The following is a 17618-nucleotide window of genomic DNA, read 5'->3' on the forward strand; positions in this document are numbered from 1 at the left end:
AGTCTTTTTTGCTGTTTCTTTCTGTGTTTTTGCTGAGTACAGAAACTAGGTAGCCAAAGGCAAAAATTCCCTTCTCTGAAGGGTTCAGATACTGCTCAGATGCACCATCTCCAAAGATCATGTCCACACAGACTAAGAACAAGTGCTCTCAGATTGAAACCAATCTGGATCTGAATCCTAGCTCCATTATACCTTAAAATTAAGTGTGACTTAGTCAAGTTATTTACCCTCGGTAAGATTGTCTTTCCATTTGCACAAGGGGAATAGTAATATTTACTACCTCTTCAGGATGTTTTGTAGATCAAGTAAAACATAGAACACACCATTATAAAGCATGGCACATAGAAAGCACCCAATATGCATTAGTTATTGTTAGTCCAAGAGAAAGTTCCATCTAAAATCATATAGTGTCTCCTGTCCCCTAAAAACCTATAAGGTACCTATCACAAAAGTGTAATCTTCTGAACCTCAGTTTTCCTATTTTGCAAATGAGAATAATACCTATAGCAAAGGTAAAAATTAAATAAGAAAATACATGTGACAGTAATTTGTAAATTACATGGCTCTATTTGCCTTGTTTAATATACTAGTTTTGGCAGCAAGAAAAAACTGACAAGTTACATATAAGAAACTCTCCATTAGATTATCAGAGTTCTCAGCAGAAACCTTGCAGGCCAAAAGAGAATGGGATGATGGATTCAAAGTGCTGGAAGGAGAAAAAAAGCTAGTAACCAAAAATACTATACTAATACTTCAGAAATGAAAAAGAAATAAAATATTTTCCATACAAGCAAAAGCTGAGGGAATTCATCACTACTAGACCAGCCTTACAAGAAATTCTTGTGCTACAATTAGAAGGAAAAGGATAATTACTATAATAAAAACATGTGAAGGTATAAAAGTCACTAGTAGAGGTAAATTCATAATCAAACTCAGAACACTCTAGTACTAGAATAGTATTATGGAACTCTTTCAAGCCTCTAGTATGAAGGTTAAAAGTCAAAATGGTCAAAAATAACAATAGCTACAATCAGTCTAAAGTAACACAATAGATAAAGATGTAAATTAAGACAATAAAAATATAAACTGGGTGGGGGGCGGGGGCCTCGAGTATTTTTTGTGACCAAAGCTAAACTGTTATCACCTTAAAATAGTCTATTATAACTACAAGACTTTATGTCAACCCCACAATAATCACAAAGAAAGAAATTCCAAAAGATACACAAATTAGAAAGAGAAAGGAATCAAAGCTTAGCACCACAGAAAAGCATGAAACCAAAATGGTAAAGAGAGGAAGAAAAGGGCAAAGGATCTATGACACAACCAGAAAACAATTAACAAAATAGGAGTAAGTTCTTACCTATCAATAATAACCTTAGTTATTTGTTTAGCTAGAGTTTAAGTCAAGTTATTTATTTAGATAGAGATTAAGTCAAAAACCATACAAAGAAAGAAAAAATTGTAAAAAAGAAACAAAGTAGTAATCTGTCATGGGAGTAGAGAAAAAAATGAAGAGATTAAAACAGTCATTATGTAATGGTAAAGGGATTGATTCAGCAAGAGGATATTACAATCAGAAATGTATATATACCCAACACAAGAGCACCCAAATATATAAAGCAAATACTATTAAATCTACAAAAAGAGACCAGCCACAATGCAATAATATTAAGGGACTTTAACAACCCACTTTCAACAATAGAAAGATCATCTAGACAGAAAAGAACAAAGAAGCATTGGACTTAAAGTGCACCCTAGACACAGACATTTACAAAACATTCTATCCAGCAGCTTCATAATACACAATTCTTCTCAACTGCATGTGGAACATTCTCCAGGATAGATTATATGTCACAAAACAAGTCTTAACAAATTTAAGAAGATAGAGGTCATGTCAAGTATCTTTTCTGACCACAACGATATTAAACTAGAAATCAATAACAGGAGGAACTTCAGAAAATTTACAAATATATGGAAATTAAACAGCATGTTTTTGAATGAACAATAGATCAATGAAGAAATTAAAAGAGAAATTTAAAAAAAAATTAAGACAAACAAGAAAGCAAAGACAACATACTAAAACCTATGGGATACAAAAATAAAAGCAATTCTAAAGGGAGGTTTATAGCAATAAACATCTACATCAAAAAGATAAGAGATTTCTGATAAATAACCTAATGTTGCACCTCGAGGAACTAGAAAACAAGAACAAACTAAATTAAAAATTGGTAGAAGGAAGAGCATAGTGAAGCTCAGAACAGGCAACACAATAAGACCCAGTCTCTACAAAAATAAAGAATTTAGCAAGGCATGGTTCTGTGCACCTGAGATTCTAGCTACTTGGGAAGCTGAGGTGGAGAAAACCCTTGAGTCCAGGAGTTAAAATCTACAGTGAGCTATGATTGCACTGCTACACTCCCGCCTGGGTAACAGAGTGAGACCCCCATCTCTGAAGAAGAAAAAAGAAAAAACCTGAGCAGAAATAGAGACTAGAAAAGTAATACAAAAGATCAACAAAACAAATCGTGGTGTTTTGACAATATAGAATTTAAAAGCCTTTACTTAGACTAAGAAAAAAAAGAGAGAAGACTCAAATAAATAAAATCAGAGTGAAAAAGGAGACACAACAATTAATACATAGAAGTACAAAGGATCATGAAATAATATAATAAACTAGTATATATACCAACAAATTTGATAGCCTAAAAGAAATAGGTAAATTCGTTGACATATACAACATACCAAGATTGACTTATGAAGAAATAGAAAATCTGAACAGACCAATAATGAGTGAAGAAATTGAACCAGTAATAAGAAATCTTACATCAAAGAAAAGACTAGGACCTGATGGCTTCATTGTTGAATTCTACTGGATATTTAAAGAGTAACAAATACCAACTCTTCTCAAACTATTCTAGAAAATCAAAGAAGAGGGAATACTTCCAAGGTCATTCTACAAGTCCTAGATTGCCCTGATATGTGTGTGTATAATATGTGTGTATGTATTTTTATAATGTGTGTATATAATATGTGTGTAATATCACCTCAAACATTTATCATTTCTTTGTGTATAATATGTCTTATACACATATACACACACAGTGTACTAATACATACACACATATTATACACAAACACACACACACACATACAATGGAATGCTATCTAGCCTTAAAATGAACAAAATCCTGTCATTTGCAACAACATGGATGAAACTGGAGGACACTGCATTTGGTGAAATAAGCTGGACACAGAAAGACAAATACAGCATGTTCTCACTCACATGTGAAATATAAAAATGTTGATCTCATACAAGTAGTGAATAGAACAGTGGTTATCAGAAACTGTGGAAGGTGGGGAAAAGAAGGGTTTGAGAGAGGTTGGTCAACAGGTATAAAGTTACAACAGGGAAGGAATTTTAAGTTCTGGTGTCCTATTGCACCTCAGGTGACTACAGTCAACAAAAAGATATCGTATATCCAAAAATAGCTGCAAGAGAGGATTTTGAACATTGCCACCACAAAGACATGATAAATGTTCGAGGTGATAGATCTGCTAATTACCCTGATTTGATCATTACACTATGCATACATGTATTAAAACATTACATTGTACCCCATAAAAATGTACAATTTTGCATCAATTAAAAATTTTAAAAATGTATGAATTTTGTCATTAGTGTTATTCATGCTATAATACTCCAAGCAGTCATTACTATTGCCATATACCCACAAAAAAAATCCACAACCAGTTCTCAATTTTCAGCCTTAGGATTAAAGATGAAGATAGATTGCTTTTTTTCTAATAAGAGGAGAAAAAAAAAAGAAAAAGGAATGAAATAACATGTGTTACCATTAATTTTTTTAAGTGCTAATTCAGTTTGTTTTTAACTCATGGTTTGGAATAATGAGTAATAGAGAAAAAAAGTCAAATATTTACACATGCAGGCAGAATAAGAGAATAAGAGAGCTGGATCAGTTTTAAGAAGGGTTCCAAATCCTGTTAGTTTTTTGACAGGCAAAATGCAGACATAATATGATGAAGTATGGATAAGACCTTCAAAACAACATCATGAATCTGATCTCAATGACTGAGTTCTTGGAGACAAACACCAAAGTATACCTATGGTACAGTAATGACCTGTCTTTAAGGCTAGAGGAAAAAAAGCCTCAAACTAGAGCAAGCATCTCACATGGAAGGCTTGTTAGGAGGCAAATGGTTAGATGCCACCATTTCAGAGTCTTTTCTTCAGCAGGTCTGAGGTGGGGCCTGAGATCTGCTTTTCTAAAAGTTCCCAGGTGATGCTGATACTGTACGTCTAGTGACCACACTGAAAATCGCTGACCTAGACAATATGGGTATTTCTGTAACAATGTGCAATTCTCCAAAAATGGTTGGGAGGAGAACATAGTAGTATTTTATTTCAAATAGGAACATCACTGAATGGGAAGTAAGGGGATTGAAATTATGGTCAAGAAGTGCCATGACTCCTAGAGACCTCTGTTCTGTGAACCAGTGGAAACCGGGGACACTTCTGACCCCACTGCCTTGCTGGCGTCTCTAGTTCAAAGCAGCTATGGGCACCCAACTGGTCCCCAAGAATGCATTGTAAGTGCAAAGGGGAGTCAATTTGGCCTGATGGAGACACCACGATCCCAGAGAAGAGATCTGGGCACTGCTGCAAGTGGTCTGAAAGGATGTGAGTCAACTTTCAACACAGAGCTGCAAAAAAACAGCTTTTTGTTCTCTTTATTGTTCCTTAAGCAATTTCAAGTATTACCTGATTTCCAGCTGTGACTGAATTCCAGGCCGTTGAAAAGCACTATTGTTACTGTAACTGGGCAAGGTTATTAACAAGCTCCAGCATTTATTGAGAGCCTACTGTATGCTGGACACTTTACACACATCATCCTATATAATCCTTGTATCCTGTATAATCAGCCTGTAAAGTAGGAGCTACTATAATTTTCCTCATTTTCCAAATGAACAAACTGAGGTTAGGGAATTGGTCCTAAATCATAAAGCCAGTAAATAAGAGCCAGGTTTCCAACCAGAGCACATAGACTGCTCATCCTGGGCTATTTTCAGACAATACAGACACATACGAAGAATGATCTGTGAAAGGTACATCTGTAAAACGTAATTGATCCCTAAAAACCTTTAGAAACCAAACACACTTCTATATGCATATCTTGTCACTTCCCTTGGAAAGCATGATTATTTCTTGTTGCTACTAAACAACAAACTAAAAAACGATGCAGAAAGATACAGAGATGATTCCCTGCATTCTGTCAGCTTCATAAACGGTTTTTATGTTATTTGATCAACAGGAATCCTCTTTGTCCATAAACTATGTGTTGACTTCTACCCTTGCTGTGTTGTCCTCTTCCTTCTCTAACATGAATCTTATTCTCTCTCTTAGCTATCCTACTTCTCCAGGCTAAGGAAAGCAACATCTGAAGAAAGCACATAATTTCCATGATTAAGCACCTAGAAATCCTGCATGCCTTTGCCTTATTTACTATTCTCAACTGCAAAGCCGACACTGTTTTCCCCATTTCATGCATAAGGAAATGAGTCTGGAGATGCGGGGTGTGGTTGTTAATATTATGCAACCAGAAACAGGCTGAGGAGCTCCTTCAGTCTATGCCCTTTGACGCCAAAGCCGTTCTCTATTCCTTTCCCCTTATCTTCCTTGCTCTTTCCACCACTTCTGTACTTTTCACACACAGATTTCATAAAGCCTAAATAGAGAGAGGAGAGTGAAGGGTCGGCATGCAAAATATTTAAAAACGTATTGCATTCCCTGTGATATTAGGGCCACCGTTGTCATTCAGCTGAGGTCTCTGGGATCGATTCTCCTCAGATTAGCCCATGAGGAATGCGTTCTGTGTGTTTGCAACAGGATGAACTAAAGCCAGTTGGTCAGTGGTTTGTCTGCCTAAGAGTTGAGTCTGACCTGGTTGGTGCACTTGGGATGATGCAGTCTCATGCCCTCTTGTTTGAACTGTGCAATGTTACACTGCCACCCTGTGGTTCCTTCATTGTGAGTTCAGAAACAAAACTGGCTGACAAAATCCGTCTCATAAACCATCCGGGGTGAGTTTGGAACAGGGTCTGAAGGAGAAACCAGGTTTGGGAAAGGATATGAAAGAGAGGCCTTAACTTGCCAAGGAAAACGTAGGTCATTTTTGATATAAAGTAATTGACTGGTTATGAACACAGGACTTGGAGTCAGGCTGACCAGAGTTTAAACTTACCAACTGATAGAAGGAATGAGTTCTAATGTTTGTCAGCAGAGTAGGGTGGCTATAGTTAACAATAATGTATTGTATATTTCAAAATAGCTAGAAGACAGGATTTTAAATGTTCCTAACATATAGAAATGACAAATATTCGAGATGATGTATACCCTAAATACCCTGATCATTTCACATTCTACACGTGTTTAAAAAAAATCAGCCACATTAAATTTAAAGGAGTTTAATTGTGCAATGAACAATTCATGAATCGGGCAGCCCCTAGAATCACAGCAGATTCAGAGAGACTTCAGCACAGCCACGTGGTAGAAGAAGATTTATAGACAAAAAAAGGGAGGTGACGTACAGAAATTGGAAGTGAGGTACAGAAACAACTGGCTTGGTTAAAGCTCAGCATTTGCCTTATTTGAACACAGTTTGAACACGCAACAGCATATGAGTGGCTGAGGCACGGCTGCTGGGATTGGCCAAGACCCAGCCACTGTTACCGGCATACACTCCCAAGTTAGGGTCTCACTCTTGTCTACCTACTGCGTTAGGTTGCAGTTCATCCACAAGGACTTAAACACAGAAGTTCAGAGTCCTTCTCAGGTCATATTTAGTTCACTTTAAAAACTCCCCCCTTTTGGTCATTTTCTCAATTTTGAGAGTGACCAAAACTTTAGTCATTGATGTCACTATTACCATTGTAAATGTACTTATTTGGTCTTGAAAGCCACTGGAAAACAGTAGAACAGTGAGTTTTGCAAAGGTAGGAACAAGGACTGAGTAGAGGGTACCTGCTTATGCTGGAACACCCTGTTTATACATATAACATAATATCACCTGTACCCTATAAATATGTACAAATATATATTTTTTGAGACAGTTTCACTCTTGTCACCCAGGCTGAAGTGCAATGGCATGATCTTGGCTCACTGCAACCTCCACCTCCCAAGTTCAAGCGATTCTCCTGCCTTAGCCTCCCCAGTAGCTGGGATTATAGGTGCCCGCCACCATGCCCAGCTAATTTTTGTATTTTTAGTAGAGATGATGTTTCACCAGGTTGGCCAGGCTGGTCTCGAACTCCTGACCTCAGGTGATCCACCCGCCTTGGCCACCCAAAGTGCTGGGATTACAGGTGTGAGCCACCTCACCCGGTCTACTATGTACAAATATTATGTATCAATTTAAAAAAAAAAATTTTAATAAACTTAGCAACAGAATAATTCCTTCTCTGGGCCCCAGATTCCTTGTCTGTACAATGTGAATAGTAATAATTTCTCAGGGCTGTTGTGAGAATTAAATAAGACAATACATGCAAAGTGCTTAGCCTTGATTGTGACACATAATAAGATTTTGCTGTTATTATGGAGCTGAGATTAGAACAGTGCTCTCCTTTCCAAAGCCCCAGTGAGGCCAGCCCTTCCTTGTCACTTTCTAGGACTCCCCTTTTCCACTTTGCCCCTCTTTGGTTTGAGGCTTAACATTGCATCTTTTGCTACCTTTGAAGTGTAAACTTTGGGAGAATCCAACAGAGCACATTTCCAGTCTCATCTTCATCATCTAGTAGTTTTGTGACTTTTTGCAGATTCATACTAACTTCCTGAACCTTAGTTTCCTCATTTGTAAAATAGGACTAATAACACCCAGGTCTTCAGATTATAGAAAGAATTGGAAATAACATATACGAAGCATTGGACATGGTGTCTTGCAGGTAATCATTATTCTATATGGTAATCCTTATTATTGTCATTATCACACTTGTTCATTCCAATTCTTCAATCCTTCCTTTGTCTTTCAAGAAGCAACAAGATTTTTAAGCTCACCAGCCATTAAATATCCTTTGGGTAATTGGGATGGGAAAAAAAATCAGCCCCAATAAAACATTATTTTTCCAGGATTTCACAACATATTTATTTTCTCAAGGTTGTGAAAATACATTTTCACATTTTGATGTTTCTAATATTGAAGCATAATTTAAAATCAATATGTACTTCTATGTTTTGGTTTTGTATGTTTTGGTTTATTCTTTCTAGTTCCCAACTTCCTCCAAAAAAAGAAAATCATTAAATCAAAGTATATCTTAGAATTTAGAATTAAGATAAGCAGATTTTGCTTTCATCTACTTCCAAATCGAAAAGACTAGATTTTTGGTAACCTCCTGAATATTCTTAGCCTGAATTCCCCAAATCATAGTACTCTTAGCTTTCAGCCTTACTGTTAAAAGATACATCCTTAAAGTTCTCTCCTAACTATTTTTTGGGGTCCCCAGAGAGTATCTCACATGTGCCCATATTCTTTGACTGTGAAGCTCTGCCCTCTGGTTTCTCTCTCTGGGGGGCTGCTGCTGCTCCCCAGAGACTTGCCCTCCAGGACCAGGGAATCCCAGTGCACTGAGGTTGCGACAGAGAAGCCACAATCCCCAACCACCACCCGCCAGTCTCTCATGGCCACCTCCTTGGCCTCTGGCACTAACCCTCTGCACTTTCCCCATCAGGCCTCAGGCCAGCCCCTTCCCCAATGAGAGGGACAGGCAGACACCCTGCCATCCTCGTGCCAACCCCCTTCTCTCCATTTCTCTCCTTAGGTATTTCTCCACTTGCCAACATTCCCCTCTACTCTTTCCACTAAAATATTAAAAATAAAGAGCCTGGCGAGGTGCGGTGGCTCACTCCTATAATCCAAGCACTTTGAGAGGCCGAGGCGGGCATATCACGAGGTCAGGAGTTCGAGATCAGCCTGGCCAACATGGTGAAATCCCATCTCTACTCAAAATAGAAAAAAATTAGCCGGTCATGGTGGCACATGCCTATAGTCCCAGCTACTCGGGAGGCTGAGGCAGGAGAATCACTTGAACCTGGGAGGCAGAGGTTGCAGTGAGCCGAGACTGTGCCACTGCACTCCAGCCTGGGCAACAGAGCAAGACTCCATCTCTAAATAAATAAATAAATAAAAGTAAAGAGTCCCCATGAGCATTTGGTGCTTAGAGAGGTGGTCAGCCTTCCAGTTCCTCTAAGCATCAAATTAGATTCCCAGGTTGGGTTCAACCAGTACAATCTGGCCGGGCGCGGTGGCTCACGCCTGTAATCCCAGCACTTTGAGGGCCGAGGTGGGTTGATCACGAGGTCAGGAGATTGAGACCATCTTGGCTAACATGGTGAAACCCCGTCTCTACTAAAAATACAAAAACTTAGCCAGGTGTGGTGGCAGGCGCCTGTAGTCTCAGCTATTTGGGAGGCTGAGGCAGGAGAATGGTGTGAACCTGGGAGGAGGAGCTTGCAGTGAGCTGAGATCGCGCCACTGCACTCCAGCCTGGGAGACAGAGCAAGACTCCATCTCAAAAAAAAAAAAAAAAAAAAAACTAGTACAATCTATACCAAAAACATAATAAAGAGAAAAATCATTCCTTTTTTCCAAAAGGATATCTCATAAGATTTTAAAAATATATTTGTATGATATAAAAATATCATTTAACAAAAATTTTCATTACAACCTCATATATATAAACATATAAATGCATATTTTTACATGATAATAAAATATGTATATGTAATAAAATTATATTACATAAATACATTTATACAATTTGTATGATGTTGATAGTTTCACAATGTGAATAGTTAGTATTAATCATGCAGTTACTGTGCAACAATCATGAATGCATTTAACCGCAACAAATCTTTGAAGCAAATACTGTTATGAGTTCAGTTTCACAGCTGAGAAAACAGAGGCACAAAGTGTTCGATATTATGTTCAGAATTTCTCCAGGTAGTATGGAGCTGAGTCTGGATTTGAACCCAGGCAGCTTGGAGCAACATCCTAACTACAGAGCAATTCTATCATTCTTATCATCTGAGCCAGACTGCAGATAAAAGGAGTTCCCTGAGCATGTTTTGACTGATGCCTATGGTATTAGTCCATTCTCATGCTGCTATGAAGAAATAACTGAGACTGGGTAATTTATAAAGAAAGGAGATTTCATTGACTCTCAGTTCTGCATGGCTGGGGATGCCTCAAGAAACTTACAATCATGGTGGAAGGCACCTCTTCAAAGGGCAGCAGGAAAGAGAATGAGTGCCAGCAGGGGAAATGCCAGACGCTTATAAAACCATCAGATCTCGTGAGAACTCACTCACTACCACGAGAACAGCATAGGGGAAACTGCCCCGTGATCCAATCACTTCCCACCAGGTCCCCCCAACAGCACATGGGGATTATGGGAACTACAATTCAAGATGAGATTTAGGTGGGGACACAGCCAAACCATATCAGCTAAAAATGATAAGCTGCCACTATGAAGAAATATCCTCCCATCCACTCCAACCCCCACAACACACAAACACACTCATACAAGTAATATTCATGTTCACTTCAAGGCAAGCATCAATTTTCTTTTGGAAAATTTTTAAAAATCAAAATCACCCACCTTAATTTTCAAGGGAGGAGGATGAAAAGCTAGAGGCATGAGATAGATGGGCCCCTGGTTGTATTCAGTGAAACACGTGCTTCTTTGAAGTGATCACTGTACGAGGACAGTGAGTTGAGCCATTCAAGGGTCCAACACAAGTGACTATATGACAAGCTCCTTCCCTTGCAATACAGAATGAGGTTAGAACTCTTCTATTTTCCATTTCTCTATATCCCAGAAACAGATGACAAGCCCTGAACCCTCTTGACTCAAGTGAAAAAGATTTGTCTCTGTTTCCTGAATATGCAATATGCATTCCCAGGATACGTGAGCTGGCAGCACTGATGCTGAATAGCAAAACTGCTCAACCTTAGGCCAAGTAGGGAGCTGCCCTTTCCAGGTCACTGAAGTATAGTTAGGATGGCTCCCTTGGTTTCTAATGAATGGAAACTTGTTACATAATTGAAAACAAGCCTAACATGTTTTGTTCATTACTGTCAGAAGGGAAAAAAAGGAGAAACAGTCCTGTTGCTAACCCTTTCTAAGTCCCTCTGGCCAATTTGCCTGCTTAAAAACTAGCCCATCATCCCCAGCCACTCCAAGTCCTGGCAGCATCTTCTCTAGCCCACCCCTTGGCACTGAAGATAAAATGATCTTTGTAGCTGCTTCTTTAGGAAGGTAACTTCGGTGCAGTGGAACAACTCATGAGGATGGAGGAATAACTGACCAATTCACTCTGGCCTAAATAGGCTGTTTCAGCCACAGGGTACAGCTGGTAGGTGAGCCAACCAACACCTTTTTCTAATTCTTCCAAAGAAAAACAAAGTGAACTTGGACACCTCAGGGCCCTAGAGAATGTGCTGGCAGCGCGACTGAGCTATACAGCCTGCAATTCTGATATCTGAAGAGCTGATGGCTTACTCTTTCTTATCTCCTTTCAATTCTCATTGCCTATTGCCCAGGACACCTGGGAGGGAGCAGAACCTATTAAGACACAGGTGGAAGTTATCAAACAAATCGCCTTAGTTGCGATCTTGACCTGAGCTAAATGGAAACTGTGACACCAACACACAGATCTTGTGCACAAGCCCCCTTCTCAAGACAAGCCATTAAGAGACAATTACAGTGAGTGTTCACAGCTGAATTATTATGTCCAGGTGCTGCCTCTGTTATCTCTTTATGGCAAAGTGAAAGCTGAAGCGGGCTTGGATTAAATGAATAAAGATTTTCCCAGGAGATGCCACTGCTAAGATTCCATCAACTCGGCTTGTGCATCTGTGAAAAGAGATCCAATTCACGATTTCCATAGCCAAAGTCAAGCCCAATAGATAAAGCTTATAAAAGAGCTGGTCTTTAAAAATGGCATGTGTTCTGGGCTATTCAAAGACAGGAAGACCAAAAAGAACTTAATCCCAAACAAATGAAAACTCTCTGGCTGAGGAGTACCAAACTTAAAAGGTATAAGGAAAGGATCATGTAAGGCTTAAAGAGATAAAAAAAAAAAAAAAAGTAAATCAATTATCTTCAAGACACTAACCACGCTTCCTGGAGAAGAGAATCTTAGAAGTTGAATTAACCATACTCCTCACATCTTTTAACTCCATTTTATTCCCTGAAAGCATCAAGTTCAGCCAGTGTATGACACTGTATTTCATTTAGTCAACAAATATTTATTGAAAGCCTACTGCATGCCAACTATTCTACAGCAGTGAAGATGCGTAACCCAATCTCTATCTTCACAGAGTTTATAGTCTACTGGAGCCAAGTACCCCTCCAACTATGTAATATACAGTAAGGTAAATTGGAAAGGACACTGAACTAAGACTCAAGAAAATTGAAGTCAAGACTCAGCTTCGTCTTTGACTTATAAAAGACCATTCACAAATCATTACATGGGTGTCCCCATGCCTTAGTAAAATGAGGAATGTTTGTGAGCTGCAACCTAGTTTACTTTCTGCTTGTGTTCCTTGGAGCTCAGAGCTCAGAGCATCTTGAAGGTGAGGTAGAGATTCATGACACCAGGTTCCAGGTTCCTCTACCCTGTATTTTAACTACAGAAGCCGTCTGCTTCTGTTTTCATACATCAGAGTTTAGAGTACGATCTCATTTGAAGAGGAAAAAATAACAGCTAAAATAAAGTTTGAAAACTACTGCCTTAAACAACTTTAAGATCCATTCCTGTTCTGTGGTTTGGTTTCCCAAATTTCATAGTTTCTCCCTCTTAGAGCATAAACCAGTCTTTCATCTCTGGCAGATAAATCACTAGGGGAAATCTCTGAGAAAAGTTTCTCTCCTGATCATACATACTTCTTGGCTCAATATTATCCTACCACAACCCCAGATGATTTCCATCTCTACTCATCCCCAGCAGCATTCTACATTGTTTCTTCTTCTCATCTTTCAAATGTAAGGTCACCAGTGTAAAGTTGATATGGGCATCTCATATTCCCTCTAAGTTACTATCCTTGAGTGTTTTTTCTTGTATAAACCACTGTGTTTCCTATTTCAGGCACCACTATACGCAACTTGTTCTCCTTAGGAAAGATTTTTGGTTTTGTTTGTTTGCTTGTTTACATTCCACCTTGTTCTCAGAATGCATAAAATATGGGATTGCATAATATCTTTAAATGAATTGAAATAATACATGCACACATTTTAAAAAAATAAATAGCCCAAACGGCAGAATGGGGAAAAAAATAGGCCTACTTCTCAGAGGCAACTTCTTTAAATCATTCAGCTATTTTTTTAAAATCCTGGCAACCGCCTTCATATCCCCTAAATAATATGCTGATATTTAATTTTTACATTTTCTACCTATTGATTTCTCTCTTTTTTAGACAGAGTCTCGCTGTCACCCAGCCTGGAGTGCAATGGCAGGATCTCGGCTCACTGCAACCTCCGCCTCCCGGGTTCAAGTGATTCACCTGCCTCAGCCTCCCAAGTAGCTGGGATTACAGACACGTGCCACCAAGTCTGGCCAATTTTTGTATTTTTAGTAGAAAGGGGGTTTCACCATGTTGGCCAGGCTGGTCTTGAACTCCTGACCTCAGGCGATCCACCCACCTCGGCCTCCCAAAATTCTGGGATTGCAGGCGTGTGCCACCACGCCCAGCCCTGGTTTCTGCTATTACAGATGGGAGTTAGTGCTCACCTACCCCATGCTCCCATTGTAAGTGTGTCACTATTTTAAGCAAATGCATTTTTCTAGTATGATGATTATTTAAATACTGTTCCTGGAAAGGCCAATCTGTTTGCTAAGAATAAAGCCTAAATGGGAACCTAAAAGTGGAAAAACAAAGGCTGGGAAATAACATGGAGCTATGAATAAGATTAAAGTACATACTCTACCAAAAAAAAAAAAAAAAGAGTATTTCTCTGGTTCCATGAATAAACCATTGCTTAAATCATTCTCAAACTATAATGTGTATAAAATTCACCTGGAATCTTGTCAAAATGCAGATTCTGATGCAATAGTTCTGGGTAGGGCCTAAGATTTTGCGTTTCTGACAAACTCCCAGGTGACACCAATGCTGCTATTCTATGAACTACAGTTTCAACAAGGTCTTACCCGACGGCTTCCAAATTTCCTTCTCCTTTTCCTTCTCCATGGAGAGCCCTCTTCAGAGGGACTCTTAAGAATTATCTCATCCTATTCCATTTATTACTCTACAGGGAGAGGCAACCTAACCTGGCTTTAACCATAACTACTTGCACAATGAGGAGGAGCAGATTTCCCATCTCTGATTCGCAGATGGGAAACACTGTGGCAGGTAAGGGATTTCATCAGGGCTGCATGGCAAGTAGCTGAATTCCGTAACATATGAAGAATTGCTTCCATTTCTACATTTCTTGTTAAAAGACTCAGAGGATGTTGAGCACTTAGAAACAAGCTGAAGAGCATGTCTGGCCTGAGCCCGATGAAAGTCAGAGTCAATAGCGTAAGCAAAGGACCAGGCACATTCCCTGTTCCTTTCCCTGGTCTCTGCTTCTCATTTCTTAATCTTTGCTCATACTCAACCAGGCTACCAGCAATCTGGAGACACATATGGATGGAAAAGATGCCAAGGGAAGCCCTCCCCTCCTTCCATGATTACTGTCCTTCATTGCAAAAGAAACTCTTTTTAAATATGCCTGGAAAGCAGTACCTGTTGTTTTTTATGTGGGTAAAGGCCAGTGGTATGCTACAAATGTTTAACAACTGACCATCAAAAAAAAAAACAAAACAAAAAGAGGCCCTCTTTTGTAGCATTTGCCAGTTTCCATGGTGTAAATACTCTCACTCTGGCCAATATCAAGCTTCCAACATGACTTTACTGAACATGGAATTAGAAAGATATGAGGCCAGTGACTCTCACAAGCTAGTATGAGCCGGCCGCAGTTCATCATGATAAAGCCTATAATTTTATCATCAGGCAAAATTAAAACTGTAGATTCAGAAAAGATTTACACCTGTTTGATCAACCTTCTCATCATCACGTCCCTTTACTACCAAAGTAAGTTGACCTGCCATTGCTCTTTAACAGTTGGTAGTTTTTCTTTAATGCAAGGTATTTAGCAGAAACCACCACATAAATTAAGCCCTTGTCCTATAGATAGCTTTTACAAAGAGCTTTCCTTGATCCCTATTGAATTATTGCCCTGGACCAGAGAAATACAATGCCCTTCCCAACAGTTTAATGTATTTAGTAACCCTCTGGAAAGAGAAAAATAACAAAACAAAACATTACAATTTTACATGTTGAAATTAAAATGAATCAAAACTTTTTTTTTTTTTTTGAAACAGGGTCTCACTCTGTTGCCCAGACTGGAGTGTAATGGCCCATTCATGCCTCACTGCAGTTTCAACCTCCTGGGCTCAAGCAATCCTCCCGCCTCAGCCTCTTGAGTAGCTGGGACTACAGGCACATGCCACCATGCTCAGCTAATTTTTTGTCTTTTTAGTAGAGACAAGGTTTCACCATATTGCCCAGCCTGGTCTTGAACTCCTGGGTTCATGTGATCTTCCCACCTTGGCCTCTCAAAGTGCTGGGATTACAGGCATAAGCCATCACACCTGGCCCTCGAACTTTTTATTATGTTCTAGTTATACATTGTATGAAACTTTTTCAGGCATTGAAATAAATGCCTTTATACCACTTAAAGGAAATGAGAAAATTTTTTGTACAAGAACAAAAAGATCATATGGCTGTGTTGAATGACAATATTTCTTAAAAATTTATTAGTGATCAATTTCTATTCATTTAAGAATAGTTTGAAGTTAAAATGTAAGCTTTAGGAGATATGTATTCTTTGACAGATTTTAAGGGTTATGGAAATCAAAACAAGTTTGGTAAGTGGCTATAGTAGATTGCCAAAATTTTCACAAATTATTCCCTTCCTTAACAGCTACGTCCTTTGCAATATAGCTTTGCAATTTCTCCCATCAACAGGTGGAGTTGGTCTTGTGCCTTCTTTGGCCAATGGAATGTGACAAAGCAGCATTGCAGTTCAAGCCTAGGCTTTAAGAGACCTTTTGGGATTTCCTAATTGCTACAAAAAAAACCTGACACCAGGTGAGTAAACCCAGGGTAGCCTACTGGGGGATGAGAGACCACCTGGGACAAAGATGAACCATCCCAGGTAAGCTTTGTACCCCAACCACCACGACACACCAGCCAGGCTCCAGCTGACCTAGCACCTTCTCACACCTGAGCCCAGCTCAAATCGCCAAACCACAAATTCTTCCAAAATGGGATGTTGATTTACACCAGGGGTATCCTATCTTTTGGCTTCCCTGGACCACAAGGGAAGAATTGCCTTTGGCCACACATAAAATACACTAAGGATAGCTGATGAGCTTTAAAAAAATTGCAAAAAAAATCTCATAATGTTTTAAGAAAGTTTGCAAATTTGTGTTGGGCCACATCCAAAGCCATGCTGGGCTGCATGTGGTCCCGTAGGCCATGGGTTGGACAAGCTTGATTTATGCCATTGAGCTTTGTAGTGCTTTAATAGCTAAAACTAATTGATATAGTCACCTATATCAGGAAATACTCAAAATACACCCCAACCATATGCTGTATGTAGACCTTTTTGGAGGCTGATTGAAACCAAACCAACTTCTTAAGATAACTGAGGAAATTTAAAATGGTATGAGTATTAGACAATATTGAGGAATTATTGCCCCTTTTGTGAGATGTGGTAATGATATTGTACTTATGTTTTTAAAAAGTCCTCATCTGTTAGGGACATACAAAATTTATACATGCATATATGAAATAAATATGTACCTACACACATACATAAACACATACACGCTGAAATATTTAGGGGTGAAATAACTTTATGCTTGGAATTTGCTTTAAAATACTCCAGCAATTAAAAAAAAAAAGAGCAGGAAGCAGGGCATAGAAGAGAGGAAAATAGGCGAAATGTAACGGTGATAATGTTAGAAGGTTGACAATGGCTGCATGGCAGTTTGCCATGATATTTTCTCTACTTTTGTGTATGTTTGAAATTTTCCAAAATAACTTTTCATGTTTTTGCCTTCAAAGAGGTTCTTAAGATTATTTCTGAGGCTTTCCCAAATACCTGGAAAGAAAACAATCATTAAATGGAAACACCGCGTAATACTATCATTGGCCTGATGGTTCAAATAACCAATACATTTCATAGCGCCACTGTGGAAGTGGGAGGAATCAAGTAGTGACAGTAGAGATTAGATTAGCTGGAAGTCATAGTAAAAGTCAAACCCAAAGCATGCTTAATGGAAATTACAAAATTAGTAAGACAACAACAAGGAACCTGGCTAGTCTCATTTTAAGTCCAGTATTTTTCCGCTGTAATGCTGCCACTCCCTCACGTTGATTACATTCAAGTGGCCAAATGTTATAAGCAGGACTCTTCTGGTTGCCGGTGACAGAAGCGCAACTTAAATTGCCTTTAGCAATAAAAGGTTAATTTTTAGATTGATCAGTTAAGGTATTAAT

The 17618-nt window shown here is 38.8% G+C and overlaps 1 long non-coding RNA gene across 1 annotated transcript in view, besides 1 other annotated feature; it reads right to left on the reverse strand.

The window, feature by feature from the left end:
• Positions 1 to 10889, reverse strand: part of LOC124902983 (uncharacterized) — a 57302-nt gene extending 46413 nt beyond the window's left edge. The window contains exon 1 of the long non-coding RNA XR_007063406.1: positions 10669 to 10889. This is a non-coding gene — a long non-coding RNA (uncharacterized LOC124902983). The remainder of the gene's footprint in view (positions 1 to 10668) is intronic.
• Positions 5855 to 6149: an enhancer, noted in NCBI's record as "tiled region #11325; HepG2 Activating DNase matched - State 12:CtcfO". NCBI's record gives its function as "activates a minimal TATA promoter and a strong SV40 promoter by Sharpr-MPRA in HepG2 cells {active_cell/tissue: HepG2}" and the evidence as "EXISTENCE:reporter gene assay evidence [ECO:0000049][PMID:27701403]".
• Positions 10890 to 17618: the final 6729 nt, after the last annotated feature.

The sequence above is a fragment of the Homo sapiens genome, chromosome 12 (genome assembly GCF_000001405.40).
Source record: "Homo sapiens chromosome 12, GRCh38.p14 Primary Assembly".
NCBI lineage: Eukaryota > Metazoa > Chordata > Mammalia > Primates > Hominidae > Homo > Homo sapiens.